Raw genomic sequence first — 27930 nt, 5'->3', positions numbered from 1 at the left:
CCATGATCATTTCGTTTCCAGAAACCACATACAGGATGTGGGTGAACATGTCTAGACTTTTGGGAGTCTCCTCCCCAGGGCCCCGAAGAGGGACAGTGAAGCCTGGGATATTAGTCCCATTTCCATTTTCCTTCTTAATCTATGTGCCTTGAACCAGGTGGATAGGTTAGGAAAAAATGAGAATAAAAAACAAATCCTGTGAATTATTTAGGTTAGCACATTTTCAACCTTAAATAATGAGATTCAGAAAATATATTTAAGGATAGAGTTTATTTGAGCACAAAGGTTAAGGGTAGCCACCTGGAAGAGACCAACTCCAAATGAATGGGGTCAGCACTCCAAAGTGGAGGACATAAGGTATCACTTACATAGGCAGAGACAGAGAAATTTTAGCAGGATTATATTTTCCATATGGGACCATGCATAGTTACAGCATTTTGATTGGTTACAGATTGCTACATTCCAAGGAAGATTACTTTATTGCTCCCTGAAAAGGGGTAGTGATCTGAGGGGAAGCCCATCCCCTTGGAAATTTAGTAGGAACTTTAAAAAAAAAAAAAACTTTTTACTTTGAGATAATCAGATTCACATGCAGGGAATAGTACAGAGAGATCCCAGGTACTATTTACTCAATTTTCCCCTAATAATAACATTTTGCAAAACAATAGTGCAACATCAACATTAAGATATTGAAACAGTTATAATCCACAGATTTTGTTCAAATTTCCTGTTTTACCTGCACTTATTTGTGTGCGTGTCTGTTTATGCACATATGCCCATGTATTTATGTCTATGCAGTTTTAAAAAATAGACTTTGTGTTTTAGCACAGTTTTTGGTTCACAGCAATAATGAACAGAAGATACAGAGATTTCCTATGTACTCCCTGCCCCTATACATGGATAACCTCCCCTATTATAAACATCTTTCACCAGGGTGGTACGTTTTTCGCAATTGAGGAACCTACACTGACACATCATGGCCACCCCAAGTCCATAGTTTATGTTAGGGTCCACTCTTGGTATTGTACACTATATGACTTCGGATAAATTTATTATGACATGTACCTACTGTTATGGCATCATACAGAGTAGTTTCACTACCCTCAAAATCCTCTGTGCTCTTCCGATTCATCCCCTTCTTCCCTAACCCCTGACAACCACTGATATTTTCACTGTCTCCATAGTTTTGCCTTTTCCAGAATGGCATATAGTTGGAATCATATGTTATGTAGCCTTTTCAGATTGGCTTCTTTCACTTAGTGATGGTGAAAAAAGGTTCACTATTTAAGGTTCCTCTATGTCTCTTCATGGCTTGATAGCTCATTTCTTTTTGGTATTGAATAATATTCTATTGTATGGATGTACCACAGTTTATCCATTCCCTTGCTAAAGGACATCTTGATTGCTTCCAAGTTTTGGCAATTATGAATAAAGCTGTTATAAACATCTGTGTGCAGATTTCTTTTTTTTTTGGTGTGAACATGAGTTTTCAATTCCTTTGGATAAATGCCAAGAAGGATAACTGCTGGATAACATGGTAAGAGTATGTTTAGTTTTATAAAAAACTGCCAAATTATCTTTCCAAGTCATGGTACCATTTTGCATTCCTACCAGCAATGAATGAGAATTGTGTCCCCCTTACCCCGAAATATATTGATGTCTTAATCCCCAGTGCTTATTAATGTGATCTTATTTGGAAATATGGTCTTTGGAGAGGCAATCCAGTTAAGATGAGGTCGTTAGTGTGGGCGCTAATCCATTATGATTGGTGTCCTTATTAAAAGAGAGCACTTTCGACACAGCCATACACAGACAGGAAAACAGCATGTGAGGACACAGACCCAGAGGGAAGACGGCCATGTGAGGACAGAGACAGAAACGGGAGTTCTGCTGCCACACGCCAAGGAAGGCCTGGGGCTCCAGAAGCTGGAAGAAGCAAAGAAGGATCCATCCTTACAGGTTTTAGAGGGGAGCATGGCTCTGCCAACACCTTGATTTTGCACTTTCAGCCTCCGGAACAGAATTTTAAAAACTTCATTTGTGTTAAGCCACCCGTTTTGGAGTACTCTGTTACAGCAGCCCTAGCAAACTACTTGTGCTATGACCGTTAAGATTTCTCTCACACAGTTACTCAATGGCCTTCCCTTTCTTCCAGCAATGTCCCCTCTGCGTTAAGGCTGTTTGTGTGCTTTGACTATACTCTTCCCCCATTTTCTTCCTTCCCACCCAATGAATGCCACACTTTTCATATATGCTCTGCCTTGGTTTCCAGCAAGGATACAGATGATTTTCCCCCGATCTTGTCATACCTTTGCTCATTTCAGTCAGGAGCTAAACATCTGTGTTGAAGCCGTTAAAGAGCAGATGGTAATAGTTTAGTTGTCCTTTCTGACATGTGACTAGAAGGTAGTAAGGCTGTGTTAGAACTCTTGAACCAAGAGATGTTGGTTCAAGAGATGCCAACTCACCCTTTAGTACAAGAATATTTAATTTGGGATCCGAACTGGATGCCTTTGATCACATGCACCATGCCATTCACAGGATCTGGAGGATTACGACATGATTTACCTACAGGAAAGAAACAGAATTTTGGAGCCAAGTAGAGTAAACTAAAAACTTTTTTTAGTACATAAGGTCTCAACCTGCCTGTAGCTTACTGAGGAACACACGCAGTTCTGATGGTTCCACAGATTTTGCTACCTTGAGGAAACTCACCAGACTGCCTCAGGATCAGCTCCCTTTCAAAAAAAACTTTCCTTTCAGATCTGTTTCATCCCCATATTATGCCTCCCAGAAAAATGTAAACTTTGTTATTATCTGTAATTCAATTCAACTGGTATAATCCAAAGATCTCAAAGCCCAAGATTGTCACATCTTTTAGTTATTTAATCCACTTCTCTTTCTTGTCCCAAGTCATTCATTACTTAATTTTAGTCATGAAAATGGGAGACCCCCAGTGAATGGGGATTTTCCCTCAATCATGTCCTGCAATGACTGTTTCTCATGAAATAAACTTTTAATGAAGGCGCCAGGAACTCAAAGCAGTAACAAGGTATGATCTACAAGAATAATTCTCATATGTATTGCACCTTGGCAAACTAATTGTCATATGCAACTCAGTTACAAAATTTGAACAAATTGAATCAGATCTTACAGATGTTTGACTAACAGGGGGGTTCCCACTCCAGAGTTACTTACGTCTGCACCTGTCCTTAGCACCAGTCCAGACTGAGTTTTTTAGGCAGATGATAGAAAACGGTCTTCCGGAATAACCAGGGCGGCATTCATAGTTCAGATATGTCCCAATGGGAAACTCAAATTCATCAGTTAGGTTGGTAGGCCTGGCAAATGGAAGCCATTCTGGGGCATTGCATTGACCTGGAGATCAAGACCATAGAAGCATCAAAGTTAATGGAGAAATTACCATACTTTTTTTTTTCTTTTTTGAGACGGAGACTGGCTCCATCACCCAGGCTGGAGTGCAGTGGCGCTATCTTGGCTCACTGCAACCTCCGCCTCTTGGGTTCAAGCAATTGTCCTTACCTCAGCTTCCTGAGTAGCTGGGATTACAGGTGCCCACCACCACACCTGGCTAATTTTCGTATTTTTAGTAGAGATGGGGTTTTACCATGTTGGCCAGGCTGGTCTCGACTCCTGACCTCAGGTCATCTACCCACTTTGGCCTCCCAAAGTGTTGGGATTACAGGAGTGAGCCACCGTGACCCTGTTGAAATTCCCATTCTACCTTCTCTTTCTCTCCAATATACTTCATAGATGTGATCAAAAAAGAAAAAGAACACTTCAATAATAGCCAAGGGGTGCAGGAGTGGTGGCTCATGCCTGTAATTTCAGCACTTTCAGAGGCCAAGGTGGGTGGATCACTTGAGGTCAGGAGTTTGAGACCAGGCTGGCCAACATGGTGAAACACTGCCTCTCCCAAAATACAAAAAGTTAGCAGAGCATGATTGCACTTGCCTGTACACATGCCTGTGCACAGCTACTTGGGAGGCTGAGGCAGGAGAATTGCTTGAACCCAGGAGGCAGATGTTGCAGTGAGCCAAGACTGTGCCACTGCACTCCAGCCTGGGTGACAGAGCAAGATTCCATCTTAATAAAAATAATAATAGCAAAGGGACTTATTCCTTTACAACAGTAGTCCCTTTTTAGCACCTGGGACTGGTTTTGTGGAAGACAATTTTTCCGTGAATGGAGGGTGCAGGGAAATGGTTTTGAGATGGAACTGTTCCACTCAGATCATCAGTCATTAGATTCTCATAGGGAGCATGCAACCTAGATCCCTCATATGCACAGTTCACAATAGGGTTTCTGCTCCTATGAGAATCTAATGCTGCCACTAATCTGACAGGAGGTGGAGCTCAGGCAGTAATGCTTGGCTGCTCACCTCCTACTGTTCTGCCCATTTCCTAACAGGCCACTGGACAGTATCAGTCTATGGCCCAGGGGTTGAGGACCCCTGCTTTAAAAGATGCCTCAGAAATGGGCTCCTTTTTAAAAAATCAGCATCCATCCATTCAAAAAGTCTCTGCCAGTTTGAAGGCAACTAAGCTATTTATATCATCTTTCACTAAAGGATAAGGTGCATTTCACAGCTTCAAAATTTAGTTAATCAGTAAGTGCCTGTGCTGTGGCTTCCTCTCTCCTATCATCATGTATAATTCTTTCTTGTAACAAGGTCAGTGAATCCAATCTGTTAATATTTATTCAAATCTTCTAGATACTTTACTGATTTTGGGGGGAGTACTTGTCTTACTAGATAATGAGTTGTGTTAAAATATTTTATTTATTGTACATTTGTCTATTTCTTTTTATAATGTTGTCCATCTTTTATTTTATATATTTTGAGGTTATTAGGATTATAAAAATTTAAATTGCTATATTTTATGGTAGAGCAACCTTCTTTATTATAATAAAATATCTCTGCCTCTAGAAATGAATCTTGCCTAAAATTCTACTTTGTTTACTTTATTTGTGGGACAAATAAAACACAAATAACATGGGAGATTTACTCCCCAGTATATAAATGCTTATTTTGAATATACAGTAGTCACCCACTTATCTTTGGGGGACATGTTCCAAGACATTAGCCGATACCCAAAACCTCAGATAGTACCAAACCTGACAGCTGTCAATTAGAACACATTTCTGTTCACCTCTTCCGCCCACAAATTTAATGCCTTTCCCCTCTTAGCTAAGCACTTAGCATGCACTGTGGTTGTAACTTTTGCAGTTTGAAGTGTGACAGCAAAACTAGCACAAATTTATTTTTCCTTCTTCACAATTTCATCGATAGAAGATTCCTTCTTACCTTAGGTCTTAGCAACTTCAACATACAATGTTTTTCTTTCCTTATTAAGTGGACAACTTTCACCTTTTCACTTAAAGGAAGCACTTGCTACTAAACCGGACCCTAATGGTAATGAACTCCCTTATTAGGCTCAGCTAAAATTTTGAGAATCTATATGGAAAGGTGTGGTAGGCTAAGTAAGGACCTCTCAGAGATATCCATGTTCTGATCCCTGAAGCCTGTGATTGTTACCTGTAATGGTTAAAGGGCTTTGCAGATGTGATTAAGAATCTTGAGATGGGCAGATTATCCTGGGTTATCTAGGTGGACCTTAAATGTGATCACAAGGGTCCTTATAAAAGGGAGGCAAGAGGGTGAAAGGAGACAGAAGAAGGATATTCAGAGACACTATGGTGCTGGTTTGGAAGGTAGAGGAAGGAGGCCAAGAGCCAAAGGACGGAAGCAGCCCCTGGAAGCTGGAAAGAGCAAGAAAACCCCTGCTCCCCTGGAGCCTCCACAAGGAACACAGCCCTATGGATCTATTTTAGACGTCAGCCTCCAGAACTGGAAGAGAATACATTTCTGTTGTCTTAAGCCACTAAGTTTGTGGAAATTTGTTACAGCAGCAATAGGAAATTAATACAAAAAGAGAATGGTATATAGTATTAAAAATGTTGGGTTCATAGATTGAATCTTGAACCCAATGTCTTCTACTTAGTGGCTATGAGGTCTTAGGCAAACCGCTTAATCTTGCTGAGCCTCAGTTTCATCTTCATAAAGGGAATAATATTTTCCTACCAGGTTTGCAGGGAGAATCAAAAGTAGTATATGCTGCCACATACACAGAAGGCACTTCATAAATTATACTTACGATTATTACCCTTAGAAAAGGGTAAGGGGACTTCTAAGAGTTAAATTCGATTATTCCGCTAAAGTGGGAGTGCTTGCTTTGCTTCCAAGAGTTCATTTTCTGCTCCTTTGCAGAACTAGCTTGGAATGAGCCTATGCTGTCGGGAATGCACTGGATGACCTCAGTGACTGGTGACCTCAGCTCTCCTGAGTGAATGTGCCCCGGATTCAGCCTGGGACTTCTCATCTGCATCTCATGAGCTCCATCATAGTGCCCACGGGACCCCGGACAGAGAGGAGAATTCCTAAGGTTGCCTTTTCCCTGTTGTCAATGGCTTTAGTCAGAATTGGAAGCCTAACTCTGTGCTTTCTACTGAAGCAAAGGATGATGCTCCAAGAAAGCTCATATTTCTTACTTATTTTTCCCAGACAGCCTGTATCCATCATCACACATTTGCTTTATTAAGCCAGCAGTTGTTAAGCAAGGAAGCCCTTGTCTATGTTCCCTGCCTCATCTTGTGCCACTTGGTCCCCTCACCAAGGTGTGGCCCTTTCCCCTTTTTCAGTTTCCCAAAGACACACATTTTTCCCGTCTATGACATTCCTTCTATGTGACGCAATTTTATCTTCACTCTGACTTCAATTCTTCCTTCAGGCATCTGCTAAAATGTCACTTTCTTATAGAAGCCTTCCCCAGCCTGCCTATGGCCATACCACCCTGAACACACCCAATCTCATCTGAAGCCTTCCCTGACCCTCTTAGGGATTTGGAATCTAAACTACTTCCCTCTGCCCCACCCTATAATAATTTCTAGTCCGACACTTTGCTTTTCCTTTCATATCAATAATTGTTTGTTATTACAATTTGTGCTTTTTATCTTTGTGTGCTTTTAGAAGTATCTATTTCTCTCAATAGATATTAGATATGCATAATTTAAAGGCAAGAGATGATGTGTTTTTTTGTACCTCTAAATTAATACTTAGTCCTGGTGCTTAACACTCAATTATAAGAACTCAATGCATATTTGTTGCAATGAACAAAAAATGAAGAATTACTTATAAAACTCAAAAAAATCAAGAATCCAAGCTATGTCCCCCAAATCTCTGATTTAGTGGGTCTAGGTTAGGGCCCAGGAGTCTATTTTTAAAAATTTTCACAGCTGATTTTGATAGATAACAGCACTTTGAGGATACTGTAAAAAAAAAAAACACTGAGTAAAACAGTTGCTGTTATTTTCAGTGTTATGCATTCACCTTTCCTCTAGTTGATATGTGGGATGAAATACAATTTTGATATTTGTCTTATCCATTGATGCCGGACAAAGGAAGAGATTCCATGTGAAGTGCCTAGCGCCAAAAGCTGTATTGAGAGAGGGTAAATGTCACAGCAAAGCTTGCAACGAGAGGAAGGAATGAGACCTAAAGTAACAAAGCAAATTGAATGAACCATTCTTGGAAAGAAGTTCCTTCCCCTTAATTACATAATATTCTTACCTGCATAGTAGTATATGAATAGTATAGGTAATTATAAAAAGCAAAGTTGTATAATAGCTCAAAAAAGGAATATATGAGCCTTCAACAAAGAAAGCTTGATGTAGTTTCCTTTCTCTCCTTTATTACCAATCCCTCAATTGTGACTAGTTCCTATGACAAATATATTAATATAAAATCCACAAACTGAAGACCTACCATAATTTTAAAAGTTTTTATAGCTTTATCAAGATATATTACATACAATGATTGATGAGTATTTGAAGTGTACAATTCGATTACTTATAACATATGTATGCGTTGTGAAACCATCACCAAAATGAAGACAATAAACGTTTCCATCATACATCCCACCCACACAGAGTTCCCTCATGCCCTTCTGTAATCCATCCAAACATCCACTTCCTTCTCTAGGCAACCTTCAATGTGTTTTCTCTTACTACAGATTGATCTGACTTTCTAAAATTTCATATAACCCGAATCACTTCGTTTATATCCTATCATATAAAGGAAATAACTCAGGTGGTTTTCTCTTACTACAGATTGATTTGACTTTCTAAAATTTCATATAACCTAAATCACTTCATTTATATCCTATTGTATAAAGGAAATCACTCAGGTTTTTTTTTATGGTTTAGCCTTCACACAGCATAATTAGAGATCCATCTAGGTTGCTGCATGTATACAAATTGTTTCCTTTAGTTGCTGGGTAATATTCAATTGCATAAATATATCTTAATTTAGTTTATCCATTTACTTGTTGAGGGACATTTGGATTGTTTCCACGTGTTGGCTATTACAAACAAAACTGCTATGAAAATTCATGTACAAGTCTTTGTGTGGACATATGATTTCATTTCTCTTGGGTAAAAACCTAAGAGTAAAATGTTGAGTGTGTGTCTAAGGTTTTAAGAATCTGTTGAACTATTTTCTAAAGTTAATGTTATAATTTTACCTGCCAAATAGCAGTATATTATAATTCCAGTTACTCCACCTTATCGCCAACACTTGGCTCGGTCAATCTTTTTCATTTTAGTCATTCTAGTGGGTATGTATTGTTATCTCATTTCGGGTTTTGTCTTGTATGACTCAGCCCACTTTCACATTCTCCTGGTTCAGATATTCCATTCAAAGCAAGTTGATGTATTCTGTGCTATATGCACAATTAACACATCATCACTTTCATGTCTGTTGCAATATGAGCTGTCAACCCAAAGAACACTCTGCTTTCCATTCTGCATACTTACCCTTTAAGGAATAGATTTGCACTTGCTTTGCTTAGGCACCTCTATCAGTTTAAAAAAAGAGCATGCCCTTTCAAATATATAAATTTATAAATTATATATGTACACGAACATAAATTATATGCCTCAATATAAATTTTTGAAATGTAACACAGATAAAATAAATATTTTAAATGCTTTGTTAATCATCATGACTTAGCACAATCATTAGCTAACATCTAACGGGACAAAAAACAGTCACATTGAGTCTCTCTGTTCACAATAGTGAATGTAAAGCTTATTTCGACAGTCTTCATGATACTTTCTAGGTTTTTTGGTTTCATCGAGTTGTGATCAGTTGTGATTAGACTGACAGCATTTCTTCTACTTAATGCCTCTGACAAAAAATGTGTATACATGTGTCTTTGCGGAGAGGGTGAGAGGGATTGTCAACTCTACCATTTTCTTGTTTTCTGGAGTTGGTTTTATTACTGGGATCTTCACCCAGCATTTCTGTGTAGGACACTTTTGATGTTACCTGTCCAAATGTGAAGCTTATTTTAGATTAAAATAGATAATATAAATCACACATCCACTCATCTGAGCATATGTAAACCAAAATACACCACAAAGCACAGAAAGCAAATTGGAACTTCCCTTCTATCTTGCACCTTTACCTAGCAGGGATAACCAAACCAGATCCTATATGAGGACCACGTGAGGGCGCCAGAGTCCACCCTATATTAAACACTGCCTGGTAAAGCTTAATTCGTGTACTATTTTATGGCTCAGAATGTGGTCTATCCCCATGAATGTAAGCGGGAGAATATGTGCTCTGCTGTTGTGGATGAAGTCATCTATATATGTCAATTATACCCAAGTGGATTGATGGTGCTGTTGAATTCAAGTATGTCCTTACGGATTTTCTGCCTGCTGAATCTGCCCATTTCTGATAAGGAGACTTCAGCACCTTTTCTGATATCAGAAAGATATCATAGAAGTCTCCAACTATGATAGTAAATCCATCTATTTCTCCTTGCAGTTCTATGGGTTTTGCCTCACGTATTTTGTCTCTCCATCAGGTGCATACATATGGGATATTGTTACGTCTTCTTGGATAATTGGCCCCTTTATCATTATATGATGCCCCTCTTTATCCCTAATAATTTTTCTTGGTCTGAAGTCTGCTGTGTTTGAAATTAACACAGCTATTCCTGCTTTCTGTGACTAGCATTAGCATGGTATATCTTTATCCATTTACTTTTCATATATATTGTCTATATTTAAAACGGTCTTGTTGTACACAGTATATAGTTGGGTCTTGTTTCTTGATCCACTCTGATGATCTGTTTCAAATGGTGCATTTCGATCATTGACACTCAAAATGATTGTTGATATAGTTGCTTTAGTTTTGTTACTGGTTTTTATTTGTTGCTTTTTTTCTCTTGTTCTCTGTTTCTATTTTTTGTCTTCCATTCTTTTCCTGCCCTTTATTGTTTTTTGTTTTGTTTGTTTGTTTCTTTTTTTTTTTTTTTTGATTTGGAGTTGCGCTCTGTCACCCAGGCTGGAGTGCAATGGCACGATCTCGACTCACTGCAACCTCCGCCTCCCAGGTTCAAGCGATTCTCATGCCTCAGCCTCCCGAGTAGCTGGGACTACAGGCACCCACCATCATGCCCTGGTAATTTTTGTGTTTTTGTAGAGACAGGGTTTCACTATGTTGGCCAGGCTGGTCTTGAACTCCTGACTTGAGGTGATCCACCCACCTCAGCCTCCCAAAGTGCTGGGATTATGGGCATGAGCCACTGTCCCCAGCCATCTTTATTGTTTTAACTGAGCATTTTATATGATGCAATTCTCTCTTACTTATTAACATATAAATTATAGTTCTTTTTTTCACATTTTTCAGGGGTTGTCCTACATTTGCAATATCTATTTGCAGCTAATCTAAGTCCTCTTTCAAATAGCACTATACCACTTTACGGGTACTGTGAGTAACTCATAATAACAAAACAATCCTAGCTCCTCTGCTATTTTTTGTCGTATGCAATCTGTTTCTAGATTCACTCTTTAAGTGCTAGTAAAGCCATATACCTTTCACTCATCCTTTCCTGATCATAGGAGTTGAGATTTCTCGCTTTTCGGTGATCCTGCAGTCTTGCACGACTTCTTAGTCATGGTTTTTCAGACATGCATGGGGGTTTTCAGATTACAAAACACTGTCACATGCATTACACCATCTGATTTTCAAAACGTCTCTCTCAGAGATCAGGATGTCAGTTGTGCTCATTTTATACATGTGGACACTGAAGGTCAGTGATGTGACTTAACTTACTGGGTCCAAGACACCAGCTGGTAAGTAGCAGAGGCTGGAAAAAGCAGAACGCTGGCTTCCTAATAAGTAGATTTCATAAAACTCCACCACCTACTTCTATATGCATACACTTTGGGTGCAGAGCTCTTATACTTCTTTAAAATTCCAAAGGACCGTGCACACTGGAAGCATCCATCAGCATTTTAAAATTTAAATTATGTCAGCAACAAAATTTCTAGGTAGTTTAGTTTAGGCTGTTTCACATTTGGAAGTTATTGTGATAACCTCAGTAAATTTTTTTTTTGCAATTAATAGTGTCTGGGATTGTTTATAACAGTAACTTAATCAACATAGGCTAAGTAAAACAACATTCTAGTAAGAAGAGGGCCAGTACTCCCAAAGATGACACAAATTCCTAAGCGTTGACAACAGATTGCTTAACTTACTGGGCATGCTTCTCTCCTAAAAATAAGATTGTACGTTTTATCACATCTCTGCACCTGACAGGTTACTTTCTGGTGCCTAAGGAGATCAAATATTAATAACAACTCTTGCGGGACTTGGTTCTACTTTATTTTATTTTATTTACTCTTTTAGAGAAGAAGGAACACTCAAATAATGAATGTAAAATGTCTAGTGGCAGAGAAGGGCGAACCCGGAGTTGTCAGGAATAGGCTGGACAAAAACAACCAAGACTGTCACTTCAAATGAGATGTTGCCAGTGAGTCTAGGCAACCAAGAAGACTTCTGGGGAGCCGAAAAATAATAATAGAAGGGTTCTAACTGAAGATGTTTACCTATTTGAAGTTAAGAAAAAGGAAGAGATGTGGCCTCAAAATTTCCATAATAATTATAATAGGCGTTATTTTGTACTAAACACATCACTAAAATGCGAACTGTAAACATATCTACTGTCCCTTCTACCTGCAACGGTTACATTGCATGTTCTGGGGCTTCCCTTGCTCTTCTAATCCGCAAGTGCCTGGCATGCATCTGTCTTAAAGTATGCTGTCAATTAAGTGCATGGTGATGATGGCCGTGGTGGCTTGGTGTGGGGGGCGAGGACAGTTCCATGCGGGGCAGTTGTCAGGTAACACCTGCATCCCTAGGACTGCTTGTCTAAACACCATTGGGAGCAAAGTACAGAGGTAACGGTTGGGGGATAGAAATGGACTCGGGGACACATAGCCCTGTGTTAGATACTCGACAGGCTTAATGCCACTGAGGCAGCAACTCCACGATGCAGAGATACCAGTGTCCCCATTTTACAGAAGAGCAAACAGACTCAGGTGTGCTAAGTTGCCTCACAGTTAAGTTTCTAGGACCAGAACTCAGGTTTGTCGGATCCCCAAGTTCCCTTTCACTAGGATCAACGCCACGTCTTGGCTATAGCCAGCCGAGGCTGTGAATACACAAAGGCAAGGAATTTCGTGCGGCACCCGCTCAGCATCTGCGCCTTCCACTGCGCTCGTCACGACTTAAGCCCCTGCACCTGGGAACTCCACGCTTACCCAGAAGCAGCGAGGGTCTCCAGTGCGCAGAAGGATCCTACACCCGCCGCCCTGCCGGGTCGCGCGCTCAGCCCACCCATCGCGCTGCCTTCGGACCCGGGCGCGCAGAGCAGCGCAGCTCAGCGCTGCACGCGAGTTCTCTGCGGGGCCCCGGGTTCCTCGTCCGCCCGGGCGCCTCCCCACGCCCGCCCGCCTCTCACCCCAGGCCACCGGCAGCGCAAGCAGCACCACAACCGCCAGCAGGGATCCTCCGCAGCAGAAGGGGAGACCGGGCGCCGGCGGCCCGACAGGCTCCGGGCTTCTTGGAGAAGAGGCCCCCATTCTCCCCAAGCACATCTACAAACCAGATTTGATCTCGAAGAAAACTGAAATAAGAGGAAAAGCTCAGCGAAAATAGGAGTGACCAATCATTGTGCTCCGCGCCCAGAGTGTGGGGAGGGCTGCGGGGTTCCGGGACAAAATGCTTTTGACCACAGCTTCCCCTTCATGGGCGAGGTCATGTTTACTCCCCATTTGCATTGTTTCTAACGAGTTTCGCTGGCAGAGCCCACCTTGCTGACCCAGGTGCAGCAGCAGAGCTTGACAATGCTCGGGCTTCCGATGGATCCCGCGTGTGAGGCCCTGCGCTTCCAGACAAAGGCGGTGGATGATGGCAGCTCGCCTCCAAACACCCTGCTTAACTTTTCCTCTTTGCAAGAATGTGTGTGGGAAGGTCAGCTAATGAAATGCCTGCTCTCCGTGTTGAAGGGCAATTGCAGGCGATGTGTACGGTGTACAGGGAATGTGAAGAAACAATTTCCTTACCCTGAATTGAGACGTCATGCCATTGTAAGATTTTTTAAAAGGGAGGGACAATTAGATACACATTTAAAAAATGTAAATCTGTGTATAGTATGGAAGGTAGATTAGAATAGGGCAATAATGGACTGCGAAGACCAGTCAGGGGAGCTTTTGCCGACATCCAAGTGAGGTTTGATGGCGGCCCTGACTGGGTGGATAAAGTGGACAATTAACAAAGATATTGGAGATGGAATGAACAGTTGCTCATGTATTGGATTTTGGTTACTTCCTTTCTTAAGGTTGGTGGTGAGAAGAAAGCAATCAAGAGTTAGCCCCCTTGCGGTAGTTTGCTGAGAATGATGGTTTCCAGCTTCCACAATGAGAACACATGGACACAGGAAGAGGAACATCACACACCGGGGCCTGTTGTGGGGTGGGGGGAGGGGGGAGGGATAGCATTAGGAGATATACCTAATGTAAAGGACGAGTTAATGGGTGCAGCACACCAACGTCGCACATGTATGCATATGTAACAAACCTGCACGTTGTGCACATGTACCCTAAAACTTAAAGTATAATAAAAAAAAGAAACAAAAAAAAGAAAAAAGAAAGAAATAATTAAATAATTAAGTTTAAAAAAGGTAGAAAAAATAATATTTTATCTTTTTTATTGGGGGTGGCCTGTCCTTCTGACATGTACTGCCTGCCTGTAGGTAGGCTATTTTGCCTGGGTTTTTCTCTTAAAATAATTTTGACTTTAAACCTTGATTTTGTTGTTGTTGTTGTTGTTGTTGCTAATTTTATGTTAAACTTGTTTTCCTTAACCATTAAAAGGAGACATGATTCAGAAAAGAAAAAAAAAAAAGAGTTAGCCCCAGGATTAGAAATGAATGGTGGTGCTACTTACTGAAATAAGAAGTATGGATGTAGGACTGACAGATTTAGGGCAGAGGGTTAAGTATTCAAGGATGAATGTATTCCTCCTATCTATCTGTGATCCTGTGCCCTTTAACCAATCTCTCTCCATCTCCCATTGTCTCTCCCTTCCCCAGCCTCTGGTAACCAGTATTCTACCCTCTACTTCTATGAGATGAGTTTTTTAGAGTCCACATATGACTAATAACATACAGCATTTGTCTTTCTGTGCGCATTGGTTTCCATTAGGCTTCCTCCCAAAATTCTAGTGGAAGAAATGTCTACTTTGATCATATCACTTATCACAGTTTTTAGTACATCCAGTGACATTCTTTTAAGGATTTGCTATCATCATTTCAAGTTATTCTCAACAGAGTAATGGGAGTAGCAGCCAGATTGTAGTAGGCTTAGGAAAAGAGAAGAGGAGAAGGCTCATTTCCCCAGTTTTACATCACATGCTATCAGAAGGTGCCACTCCTTACCACTTCTGCTGGTATCCATCTCCTAGTATCTACTTTCTCCCTCATTCCTTGAAAGTTTGAGCTCCTGGCTCATGGCCACCTTCTCCACTGTTACTTCTGCCACAGTTCCTGGTGATTTCAACATTCACAGCAATAGTATTTTCAAATCCCTGGCCTTCCAGTGCCTTGACCTCTTCTCTGCCTGTGGTCTTGTCCTCCACTCTCCTCTGACTCTAATGCTCATGTGCATGCTCGGAGACTTGTCACTTTCAACCTCTCAGTGATTTCAATGATCCCACTCTCTAACCACCAATCCAACTCTTTTCTTTTACCCTAGTAACGTTAAACTGAATCCAGCAATCTTTGTCTGTCTCAGTGCCTGCAGCCCATTGATCCTACCGCTATCTCTCTCAGCTTCTCACCTCCTTTGTGTCTTCACTTTCATCACTACCAGGTTAAATTCCATACTCTGTCATTATAATCACCATCTTGCACCCACTGTTAGCTCCCTCACCCTTCTCTTGGGTTATTATAGCCATTAGACAAAACAACATTCCTGGTTAGAATCAATTCTCCATTATTTTGCTCTCATACCTGTGAAACTGAATGTGGCTGGAAAAGACACATAGCCACAATGACTAGCCTTACTTTAGTAACAAATAATTTCAAATGGACCATTATACTTCTGCCTGACATTCCCACTATTGTTTGTCTAATCCATTTATTCTCCCATTCTCCTAAATGACTATTTCATATTTTTATTTTGACATTTATTTCTGACACCTTCTCCAACATTCTTAATTTCTGTGAATGGCTTTGTTTCTTTCTTTATTGAGAAAATAGAAACAATCAAATAGATCTACAATTTTCTACCATCACTCCACCCAAATTCTTGTATTTGGCCCATGAAACCTCCGTCTCTCCTGTTAATATAATTATACTGTTCACAGTCTAAGTCTAAGGGTGATCTCTCCACTTGTGCCCTAGATTCGATTTGCTCTCACTCACTCAAGGAAACCAGCAATTCTCACTTCCTCCAGCACTATCATACACCTCTTTCTGCTGGATTTTTACCATCAGCTTGCAAACAAATTATTTCTCCAAGTGCAGCAGGTGTATTTTTCTCTTCAGTTTTTTCCTCCCATTTAATATTCCTTTTGCTTAGAATGCTCTTTGCCCAGATATCGCTCTGCATGGCTACTACCTCATCTCCTTGAGTTATTTGGCTCAAATGAGACCTTCTTAATGGAGCCTTCCTTGGCCACTATTTAAAATTGCACATTAATTCAGAACTTCCTTTCCTTTTTGCCTGTTTCATATAGATTAAAAAATTATACTTATCATTTTTTCATTTTATTACCAACTGAAAATCTGCTTATTGTGTGTCTCTCCCACCAGAATAAAAGCTGCATGAGAACATGTCAGTTTACGACTGCCAAATCCCATGACCTAAAATAATGCTTAGCACACAGAAGGAGCTCCATAATTATCATCACTTGAATGAATGACTACAGTGGTTGAGACAGCTAAGGCCAACCACTCTTTCAGAAAATTTGGTGTAAGAGAGGTAGTTTAAACGAGAAACATAGATGGTTTGGGGGAAGATTTTTTTCAGATGGAGGTGAAGGTGGATATCTGTTGCTCTAAATGGGTCCCTTCCTCTGGGATTTGCCCCTAGATTTTTCCACTGGGAAATCCCCTCTTTCCCATAGTTCAGTGTGATTCTGGAAGACTATGGTTTCTCGACCTCAATATTATTGACATCGTGGACCAGATAATTCTTTGTTCTGGAGGGCTGTCTTTTGCCTTGGAGGATGTTTGGCAGTATCCCTGGCCTCTACCTACTAGAGGCTGGAAGCCCTTCCGTCCTTCAGTTGTAGTAACCAAAAATGTCTCTAGACACTGCCAAATGTCCTTGGGAGGGCAAAATCATCCCACCTGAGAACCAATGAGGTAGACCAACCCTACCCCCATCTCCAAGGCTGGGCAGGCAACTCAGGCCTTGCCCTGTGTTTATTTCACTGTCCTGCTCCTAGTTATTGTTTCCTTTGGGGGCATGTAACCCTATTTGGAGAATGAAAGCTATTGAAGGGACTTTTGAAAGACTTATTGGACGAGAGGCTCTTTGTACTGGAAGGCTAAGCTGATGAGACGTGCATGTTGCATCATCAGTAAATATTTTGCCAGTTTTTAGGGAGTTTTTTCCAGAGAATGAAGCCAGCCAGGCAAAGCAGAAGGAGAAGATATTCCTGAAGGCACCCTTTGACTATTCCTGTTTTGACAAAAGCCAGCTACATGCTTGGACTTTTCTGTCATGTGATTTAGCAAAATTCATTTTTGGTCTAAGCCAGTGTGAGGTGGATTTCTGTCACATGCAGCTCAGCAGGTCTTGGCTTCAGGAGTTTTGGAGGTGGAACGAAGGAGCCAATGATGAGAGAGGGGCTAACTGAAGGAACAATGTCCTGGAAAAGACAGAAAGGGATGAAGAGTGAAAGATATAGGCTGTGAAAAGTGGAAGACAGACATGAGGGTAAGGGTGAGTGGATGTAGATAGGATGGAAGGTGGAGGGAGAGGAAGTTAAGAGAATTACCTTCGGATGTTTTCATCATCCCTTAATAGAAGGAAGAATGAATGAATGTAGAATAGAGTAGATGGCTCGAGGTGAGTGAACAGACAATGTGGGGAAATGAAAGTGTTGCTGACTGTACACGAATAAAAGGTGCTGAAGAGCATCCCACTTCTGGGTATGGATCCAAAAGAATTGAGGCAATGTCTGAAAAGACATCTGCACACCCATGCTCATGGAAGCACTATTCACAATAGTAAAGAGATGGAAACAACCTGATATGGTTTGGATCCAAATATTATGTCAAATTGTAATCTCCAGTGTTGGAGAGGGGCCTACTAGGAGGTGATTGGATCATGAAGGTGGATTTCTCATGAATGGATTAGCTTGGTACCATGTAGGGAGTGAGTTCTCACCAAATCTAGTAGTTTAAAAGTGTGTAGCACCTGCCCCCTCTCTCTCTTCCTCCTGCTCCCACCGTATGAGATGCCTTGCTTCCCCTTTGCCTTCCTCCATGGTTGTGAGTTTCCCAAGGCCTCCCCAGAAGGCAGGAAGAAGTCAGCAGCATGCTTCCTGTACAGACCCTGGAACCATAAGCCAATTGAACCTCTTTTGTTTATACATTATCCAGTCTCAGGTATTTCTTTATAGCAATGTGGGAAGAAACTAATACAGAAAATTGGTACCCAGGAGTGGGTCATTGCTATAAAGATACCTGAAAATGCGGCAGCAACTTTGGAATTGGGTAACAGGCAGAGGTTGGAAAAATATGGAGGGCTCAGAAAAATGCTGTGTTCCCATCCAAATCTCATGTCGAATTGTAATCCTCAGTTGTTGGAGGTGGGACCTGGTAGGAGGTGATTGGATCATGAGGGTGGATCCTTCATGAATGGTTTAGCACCATCCCCTTGGTGTTGTTCTAGTGTGTGGCACCTCCCCATTCTCTCCCTTGATCCTGCTTCTGCCATGTAAAACATGCCTGGCTTCCCTCTTCATCTTCTGCCATAATTGTCAGTTTCCTGGGGGCCTCCCCAGAAGCTGAGCAGATGCCAGTATCATGCTTCTCATACAGTCTGCGGAACCATGAGCCAATTAAAACTCTTTTCTTTATAAAGTACTCAGTCTCAGGTATTTCTATATTGCAATGTAAGAACAGACTAATACACAACCTAATGTCTATCGACAGATAAATGGATAAACAAAATGTAAACAAAATTGCATATACACACAATGAATTTCTTCCTTTCCTTAAAAAGGAAAGAAATTCTGACACATGCTACAACATTAATGAACCTTGAGGACATTATGCTAAGTGAAATAAGTCACAAAAGGACAGGTACTGTATGATTCCACTTATATGAGGTACTGAGAGTAGTCAAATTCATTGCGACAGAAAACAGAATGGTGGTTGCCAGGGACTGAAGGGATGGGGGAATGTGGAGTTACTATATAATGGATATAGAATCTTGGTTTTATAAGAGAAAAAGAGTTGTGGAGATCTGCTCTACAACAATGTGAATGTACCTAACTCTACCGAACTGTACCCTTAAAAATGGTGAAGATGGTAAATTTTATGTGTTTTTAATCACAATTTTAAAAAACAGAAAAAAAACAGATGCTGAACAGCATACCTAGTCTAGGGGAAGGTACAGAGTAAATTTGTGGTCACCAGTGAGCAAGGTTTTATTTTCTCAATAGTTTAAATGTTGGAACAGAGAAAATTAACAGCTATATCTATATCAAGGGTGTGGTGGGAGAGGATGAGTGAGCCGGAGAAGGTATTGGCTGGACAAATATAAGAGAAAGTCTTGAGGGTGAGGAAATTGAATTTGTGGGTTAAAAGTTTGGCTAAAACGACCAAGTGATGGGATCCTGAATGAATAACTGTTAAATCGTGGACTTTAAAGCCCTAAGACTCTCTGTTATCGAAGAGTTCATTGACTCCAAAAAAAAACAAAATAAGGCAAGTGTTGTATGTTTTCTTTACAATTACAATTTATTGAATGACTAATGTACACATTATTAAGTGAAATTTTACAAGCAACTAGAACTTATCACAAAACTGCTAAAGAAACATCCAAAGCCTGAATTGTACACCAAATCTCTAGGATTAAATCTTGATTCCCATAATTTAAAAAAACTTGTGCAAATTGCAATCACTGAGTGATTATGGAAAGGCAAAGTATATACAGTAATGTGAGAGAAACTCAAACCAAGTAAGGGTAAAAATGAAATGATTAACACCACCAGAGGAGGAAGCTACTATCAAAATAAAACCATACTTCCTAATAAAGGTAAAGCCATCATAACCCCAGAAAATGCTTCATACTTTAGATAATTAAAAACACATTATAACCAAAAGCAGATAGTAACATTGAGTATGCTGATTTCAAAAAGAAGATGGGTCTAGATACCAGGACAGCTCTTTTTAGTGCCTTCCTTAAAAAGGGCAAAACTTTTTAGAGCCATGTAATTGTTTATAGCCATGGCCTGGCTTCAGGCATCTCATAAGTGAGGCTTCAGAAAGTCCTTGAAGAGTATATGGCAGTGAAACTGGGCTCCCATCTTTACCATAAAGATGTTCTTCTTGAGAATAAGTGCATATAGGAAGTGATCGCTTATGACATCATTTCATTGATCTTGAGGCCATATAAAGAGACTTGCTGATATTAGAGCAGTTTCTTTCTAATCAATATTCCGCTGAATTCCAAGCAATGAGGCACACTGAAATAGATCATTTCTGTTTAGGAGGCAGCATGAATAGCAGCGGTGCAACTCGAAGTTTAAATAATGCTAACATTCTCTTTACATACCAGTTACAGCTGGTATAACCAACAAAGCATCAAGTCTATTAGAAGATATCATTCTATTGAAAGGCCTTTCTTCATATAACATGCTCTGGAACAAATAACTACATTTTATATACATTCATATAAACATGAATTAAACTAAATGAGAAATGAAAGTACTAATCTTTCTCATTCATAAACTCATTCAACAAATATTTATGAGCTAGGTGTACTCTGTACCTCAACTGGTTTGGATTTAGAGGTCACTAGTATGGTCCCCCTGTCAGGACTCACCAGCAGCAGGTTACCTTTTCTTCCTCAACTGCCATCACAGATTTTCTATACCTTGTTTATGGTATGTATTATTACCTATGATATTTATGGGTCTTATTTATCTTATTAAAATAAGTTCCAAGAGGACAGAGGTGGTATATTTTTTATTTTATTTTATTTTGAGATGGAGTCTCGCTCTGTCAGCAGGCTGGAGTGCAGTGGCGTGATCTCAGCTCACTGCAACCTCCAACTCCCTGGTTCAAGCAATTCTCCTGCCTCAGCCTCCCGAGTAGCTGGGATTACAGGCACGTGCCATCAAACCCAGCTAATTTTTGTATTTTTAGTAGAGACGGGGTTTCACCATGTTGGCCAAGATGTTCTCGATCTCCTGAACTCGTGATCTGCCTGCCTTGGCCTCCCAAAGTGCTGGGTTTACAGACGTGAGCCACCACTCCTGGCTGGTATCTTTATTTTCTAGATTATGTAGGAGAAAGCAGTTTAAACTCAGGCATGAGCTTGCATTCCACCTTTGCCAATGATTGACCCTGAGACCTTGCCCAAGGTTTTCTTGGATATTATTTCTTCATCTTGATATTATCTTGGGAGAACACCCACCTTTCAAAGTGGTACTGATGGCTAAGTAAGAGAAGGCATGAAAGACTGTCACATAATCCCCGGACAGAGTAAACCTTCAAATGTTCATCCCCACTTTCTCATGGGAAACTCAGGTGCACATCTCATGTGGCCTGTCGGCCTTTCTGTACTCCCTATAATTCAGTCTTCAGTTCTTAGTTGATGATTTAATGCCTTCCTTTTTCTTCTTAACTCTCTAATACCTCCTTTCTGAGCCTCACTCTCACCTGAATAATTTGCTTTCTATTCACTGAGAAGACTGAATCATCGGAAGAGAACTTCCACACGTTCACTCCCCATCACAGCTCCCAACCTGCCTTCATCTGCACCTGCAGATTCTGCCCTCCCTCCTGTTACTAAGCCCACGCAGCTAGGAGCTCCTCTGCTTAATCTGTTCCTCCTAGCTTACCCAGACCTTGTTCGAGCAATTCTTCTCTCTCTTTCTGCCATCACTCTTTCCCTTTCTACTAAATTATTCCCATCATCATGTAGGAATAGGGCATAACTGCTATTTCTCCAATCTTAAAAAATATTTCTGTTGACTTTATGTTTTACTCTTACTAGCACTTTACTTATTTGCTCCTTTTTATAGAAAAAAACCTAGAAAGAGTTGTCTGTATTTGATAGCTGCAATTTCTCTCCTTTCATTCTCTCTTAAGCTCCGTCCAGTCAGGCTCCTGCCTCCTTCCTCTCTTCAAAAACTGTCTTGTCAAGTTCAGCAGCAAATTTTGTGCTGCTTGCCTATAATCCCAGCTACTCAGGAGACTGAGGCATGAGAATCACTTGAACCTAGGAAGTAGAGGCTGCAGTGAGCTGAGATCACACCACTGCACTCCAGCCTGGGCGACAGAGTGAGACCCTGTCTCAAACAACAACAGCAAAAAAATTGTGCTACTGAATTTCAATGGTCAGTTTTCAGGGCTCATTTTTTTGGCCTACCAGCAACACTGGACAGAGTTGATCACTCCCTCCTCCCTAAAATTCTTTCTTTGCCTGACTTTAAGGTTCTTCTCTGGATAGTATCAGAGGCTGCTCCTTCACTTCTTAGTGGGTGCCTTCTCACTCCATGACTTCTAATGTTGGAGGATCCAGGGCTCAGTACTTGGACCTTTTCTTTTTGCTAGCCTCTTTCACTTCTCGGAGATCTTATTCAGTCTCCTTGTTATGTACAACCACATGATGACAAAGCCCAAATTTTTATCTCCAGCCTGGACCAATTGCCCAAAATACAGACTTGTACATCAGCTGTCTTCTTGCCAAGTCTATTAGACATCCACATTTAACATCTCCACAGTGGAACTCCTGATTTTTCTCCCCAGTCCTGCTCTTTGCAATCTCAATCATGTAATTAATGGCAGTTCTATCCTTCCAGTTGCTTAGGCAAAAGCCCTCGTGTCATTATTGACAGCTCTCTTCCTCTCATATTCTGATACAAACTATCCACGAATCCTACTGTCACTGTCTTAAAATTGCATGCAGAATCTGGCCTCTTCTTACAACCTGGTGGTAGCCACTGACAATTTCTTGCCTGGATGATTGCAGCAGCCTCCTCATTGACTCCCATCTTCCACCCATGGCTTCCTACAGTCTGTTCTTAACACAGCAGTTAAGGTGAATGTGTTGCTCCTCTCCTTAAAAGCTTCCAAATAAAAACCAATCTCTTTACCATGACCTAGCACACTTTATACAATCATCCTCTCCTGCCCACCATCCCATTACAATGACATAGCAGACTTTGTACGATCATCCTCTCGCCCACATCCCACCCCCATCTCTGTGACTTCATCTCTACAACTGTAGGCCACACTGGCCTCCTTGCTGTGCCGCCAACACAGCTGGCACACACTGCCTTATGGCCTTTGCACCTACTGTTCTTTCTGGAATCCTCCTCCCTCATATGGCCACATGGCTGGCTTTTTTTTTTTTTTTTTTTTTTTTTTGAGATGCAGTCTTGCTCTGTTGTCCAGGCTGGGGTACAGTGGCGCAGTCTTGGCTCACTGCAACCTCCGCCTCCTAGGCTCAAGTGATTCTCCTGCCTCAGCCTCCCGAGTAGCTGGGACCACAGGTGCACACCACCACGCTTGGCTAATTTTTGTATTTTTAGTAGAGACAGGGTTTTACCATGTTGAACAGAGTGGTCTCGAACTCTTGACCTCAAATGATCTGCCTGCCTCAGCCTCCCAAAGTGCTGGGATTACAGGCGTGAGCCACCAAGGCCGGCCCTGGCTCTTTACTTCCCTTGAGTTTTTTCTCAAATGACATTCTCTTAGTAAGAGCTTCCCTTGCGACCACCCTGTTCTCTTTATCCCCCTTGCCTGCTTTATTATGTCTCTATATAATGCTTATCATCTTATTGATTTTATTCTTAGTTGTTTTGCTATTTAGTTTAATATTTGTTGAATGGATGAATGGATTAAAAAATTGGAACATTAGTTGGCAAAATGAAGTAGGTAAATGAACAATTGCTATGCATGATTACTGAAGACTTGTGCAATAGTAAGAAGCATGTATATACACCGTGAATGCTACGCTTATTGATAAATACAAGTTGAAGGAAATTTTATATGTAAATTAATAATATTCCATTTCATTACATACCACCAGTTTGTCTTCTGATCAGCTGGCTGGGTTGTATGGATCAACAGAATATACTTCTCGTGCTTCTAAATGAAAAGCTTCTTTCTGGCTTGTATCTGTATAATAATTGCTAAACAGAAGAAGAAAGAAAAATGTAATATCTTTACTCATTGACCATGTTTCAATGTAGCAGTTGTTTGCTTTCCATAATTCCCAACACATGGTAAGTACTTTTGTGGATGATTTCATTTTTTTAAATTATACTTTAAGTTCTGGGATACATGTGCAGAATGTGCAGGTTTGTTACATAGGTATACATGTGCCACGGTGGTTTGCTGCACCCAACAACCCGTCATCTACATTAGGTATTTCTCCTAATACTATCCCTCCCCTAACCCCCAACCCTGTGAAAGGTCCCAGTGTATGATGTTTCCCTCCCTGTGCCCACATGTTCTCATTGTTCAACTTTCATTTACAAGTGAGAACATACGGTGTTTGGTTTTCTGTGATGATTTCATTTTTATTGTTTTTATCCTATGAAGTGTAAACACTGTAACTCCATTTTTTGGAAAGGCACATAAAAAATGAATGATCTAGGCTTGTAAGTGTTCAAGTCAGAGGCTGACACTAAGCAGCTTTACCCTAGGATCCAGGACGCTTAATGACTAACAACTACAACTTCCAAATTGAAGAAAAGAAGCAAAAATAAGTTCTTATTTTAGATCATAACTTTACCCTTTTGGGACTCAATGTTCTAGTCTGACTTAAAAGCTTTAAACGAGTTTGAAGAGAATGTTTTTACTTTCCTTCTTTGAAAGTACACATATTTCATTGTGCTTCTAAAACCACTTTGCCAGAATTACTAAAAGACAATAAAATGTGATTATACTACCATGTAAAGCTCTAAAATAACATAATACAAAATTACTGGGGAAGAAAGAATACTGCTAAAGACACTGACAGCATGTCACTCACTAGAATATTGAAGAGTTCCGTGTACAGGAGATATGTTAAGAAGATTATAAAACAGTAATTTTTAGGTCAATGTGAGATTTAAGCTTTGTTACAATATCTTAGATGACTAGAAAAGAATAGCATAGTGTCTTTCAAGTGTTTAGATGGCTTTTCAAAATATTTAATATTGTCACTAGACATTCATTTTTAAATGATTACTCATCTCATTTAAAAAAGCATTTCAGGCCATTCAAGTGTCTTTATCAATTATTGGAAAATCAATTGAAGTGGGTTAGCAAATGGAAATAAATGAATGGCAACTAGGAATCTGGTTAAACAGGTATGTTTGCTTCATATCAGTTGAGGCACTTAAGTATAGTACATGATATAATCATATTAATAAACAATAATTAGACTGGAATATTATAAATTATTTGCACTTGTAAGCATTCCCCAAATTTGCAAATTTTTATACACATGCAGTGCTCTGATAGCAAACTCAGTAGCATGAAGGAAAGAGATAGAGACTGTATTTTCTATGTATTTACATTTCTAATGCCTCTTGGCTGAAATTATCTTGTGACTTCCTATGAGGAAGGCCCTGCAAATGACATCCCTAATTTTTTTTGAGACCCTTTTCTCCTTGAATTCTGTGACGCTACTCTCTGCTAGTTTTCCCCCTGCCTCTCTTCCTTCACTTTCTGCCTTTTGAACATTACTGTTCTTCTGAGGGCTGTTCTCATCCCAATTTTTATCTGTTCTGTTCTTTTTGGTTCCACAGCTTTCATTGTGATTTAAGTGTCACCCACCCGAGTCCAGACCCTTCTCCCAAGCCCTAAATCATGAGTACCTCAAAGTACCAGGTCAGAACCGAACTCCTCATCTTCCCCCACAAATCCTGCCCCTCTCCTCTTTTAGTGAGTCAGGGGGTCCACCTCATCGCCTTCATGTGAGCCATTCTATGTGCCTCCTTCTCCCCACATCCAGCATGTCACCAAGTCCTGGAAATCCTGTCCTCTTGATAGCAAAAAACCTCTTATTAAATATTCTCATGGTCCTTGTGATTCTCCACAAGAAAAAAAAACAGTGTGCAGTATGTCCAAATCTTATTTGCCATAGAACACCCTTTTTTTCTGAAGTCATTCATGAAAGCAGGGTTGTGTGGTACACACTCTGGTAAACTCTACACTCTAAGTACACGCTAACTGTACAGGACAGCCAGAACCCCATAGGCAGCCCTCACCCTCCCGCCTCCAGCCTAGAACAAACTGCCCAGGTTCGTAGATACCCTCAGTACATAGTTTCAGTGCAACCCCTTCATGTCTGAGCCTATTCTAGGAATTACATAACTGAGCCATGGCATCAGATGGCACTGGTGGCAGGGTAAATGATAGATGCAGGGGACTTGGCACGTGAAAGAAATTTTGCTGGAGCTTTTTGGTGACATGTTTTAGGTGGCATGACTTGGTCATCTCCCCACTCGGAGCTACCTGAGAGTTGGTAAGACTTCATTGGATTATCCGCCCTAACACTAGCATGTACAAAGACTCACGAACCTATGCACACATAACATCCGAGGCCAACACCTGACGGTATGCTTTGTTAAAAATGTATCCTTTGCACATATTAGTATTCTGTAGCTTCCACAAGATTTACGTGTCAGGGTTTTTTTTTTTTTTCTTTAATGGCATGTCTCCACCTAAAGCTATGCCACTTTCGCCTTCAATCACCATCACACACACACTATTTCCCAGCCATTTCAAATGGGTTATGTAGTTCTCACAACACATGATGGAAAGCCAAGCCTCTGGGCCTTTATTCAAACTGCTCTTTCTGTCTGGAATGCCTTTCTCTTCTTGTCTACACTCTCTTGAGGCTCACCTGAAACATCTCTTCCACGCTGAAACTTTTCCTGATTAAAACTCCCAAATATTGACCATTTGCTTTGCATCCTCACCAAATATCATATAATCCACCATGGCGACGTTATTTTATGGTACTTGTTTAGCGACATGCTTGTCCTCCTTTACCAGGCTGTGACCTCCTTGATGACAGAGGCCATATGCTACTAGGCTTTGTGATTCTAGCCTAGTATAGTGCTAAGGCATAGTAGGCACTCAGCCATTGTTGTATAAGAAAAGAATGGATGGACGTGGTCATTCCTCTTTTCGCATGACTTCTATTTCTCTAACATTACTGCTCAAATGTTTTAAAAGCCATGCATGTATATACTAGATAGAGCAACATATGAAAGTATCTACAGCAAATTGCTGACATCCATCAACTTAATATGTTGGACTTGAAGGCACCAGCAGTTGTTCAGTGGAAGAGACTATTCAGTATCTTTATAAACTAATTTGCTACAACAAGCATATTTACTTTTGTATTTTAAAAATTTATGCAAATATTTATAGTGATATAAAAATATGCTTAAAGAAGGGAAACAAGATTTTTCAGTGATTTTAAATAGGGAAAAACAACTTTTGTGACTATAAATACACTTTATGTAATATAGAAAAGAAAAAAGGATGCAGTATCATTTTTAGTGATAAAACACTAGAGGCTTTATATTAAAAATAAAGGTTAAAATATGCCAATATTCCCTAATATTACTGAAGATTTTCCTTAAAATTCTTCTCAGTAAAATGAGACAAAAACAAATAAATGAAAATGTATAATCGGTAGATATGAGGTAGAAATTATTTCTACCAATAATAATAATTGGTAGAAAATATAGTTTTCTACTTAGATGATTGGGTAACTCACTGAAAAGCTATTAGAATTAATGACTGTATAAAGATAGACTTTCCTAGATATCATTTGCAATTACTTATAAGACATAACCAAAAATGATTCTATTTATAAAGCAATAAAAATAAGATACTTTTATGGCTATGTAGCTTATATAAGGTAATCTATTAAATTTTAACTAAAATATAACAAAACATCTGAATAATTAGTCATCTGGTATTTCTGGAAGGAAATAGTGAATATCATGAAGAGGTCAGTTCTTCCCAAATAAATATATAGGTTTAAGGCACTTCCTATCAATGATCTAAGATTTTATTTTATTTTTCTAGGGTATGGGAGGTGTAGTCGTGGTGCAAATAATTCTATAGCCTATCTGCAAAAATAAATAGAAGAAAATTTCAAAATAGTTTTGAAGAGGGGGAACACATCTCGGAAAAAGCTACATTTATTAATAGAGTAGCTCTGGCTCATAGAGACAGGCCGATCAGTGGAATATAATCTATCTTGCATATTTATGTCAGATATCTCTGACATAAG

At 40.1% G+C, this 27930-nt stretch overlaps 2 protein-coding genes across 3 annotated transcripts in view, besides 1 other annotated feature; both read right to left on the bottom strand.

Annotated features, from left to right (window-relative positions):
* Positions 1 to 13125, bottom strand: part of CR1 (complement C3b/C4b receptor 1 (Knops blood group)) — a 145609-nt gene extending 132484 nt beyond the window's left edge. The window contains exons 1-3 of the mRNA NM_000651.6: positions 12894 to 13125; positions 3199 to 3378; positions 2469 to 2568 (exon numbers count right to left, since the gene is read on the bottom strand). Of these exons, the coding sequence (NP_000642.3) occupies positions 2469 to 2568; positions 3199 to 3378; positions 12894 to 13014 (401 nt within the window). The 5' untranslated portion in view covers positions 13015 to 13125. The remainder of the gene's footprint in view (positions 1 to 2468; positions 2569 to 3198; positions 3379 to 12893) is intronic.
* Positions 9663 to 9722: an enhancer, noted in NCBI's record as "active region_2447". NCBI's record gives its function as "activates an Ori minimal core promoter by ATAC-STARR-seq in GM12878 lymphoblastoid cells {active_cell/tissue: GM12878}" and the evidence as "EXISTENCE:reporter gene assay evidence [ECO:0000049][PMID:35858748]".
* The window catches only part of CR2 (complement C3d receptor 2), a 35565-nt gene continuing 27024 nt past the window's right edge, over positions 19390 to 27930 (bottom strand). For both annotated transcript variants that reach the window (NM_001006658.3, NM_001877.5), the window contains 2 exons: positions 23710 to 23818; positions 19390 to 20140 (listed from right to left, as the gene is read on the bottom strand). In NM_001006658.3, the coding sequence (NP_001006659.1) occupies positions 23728 to 23818 (91 nt within the window). In that variant the 3' untranslated portion in view covers positions 19390 to 20140; positions 23710 to 23727. The remainder of the gene's footprint in view (positions 20141 to 23709; positions 23819 to 27930) is intronic.

Source organism: Homo sapiens, chromosome 1 (genome assembly GCF_000001405.40).
Source record: "Homo sapiens chromosome 1, GRCh38.p14 Primary Assembly".
NCBI lineage: Eukaryota > Metazoa > Chordata > Mammalia > Primates > Hominidae > Homo > Homo sapiens.
Note: the sequence above shows the minus strand (reverse complement) of the source record. Positions and strands in the feature narration are given on the sequence as shown.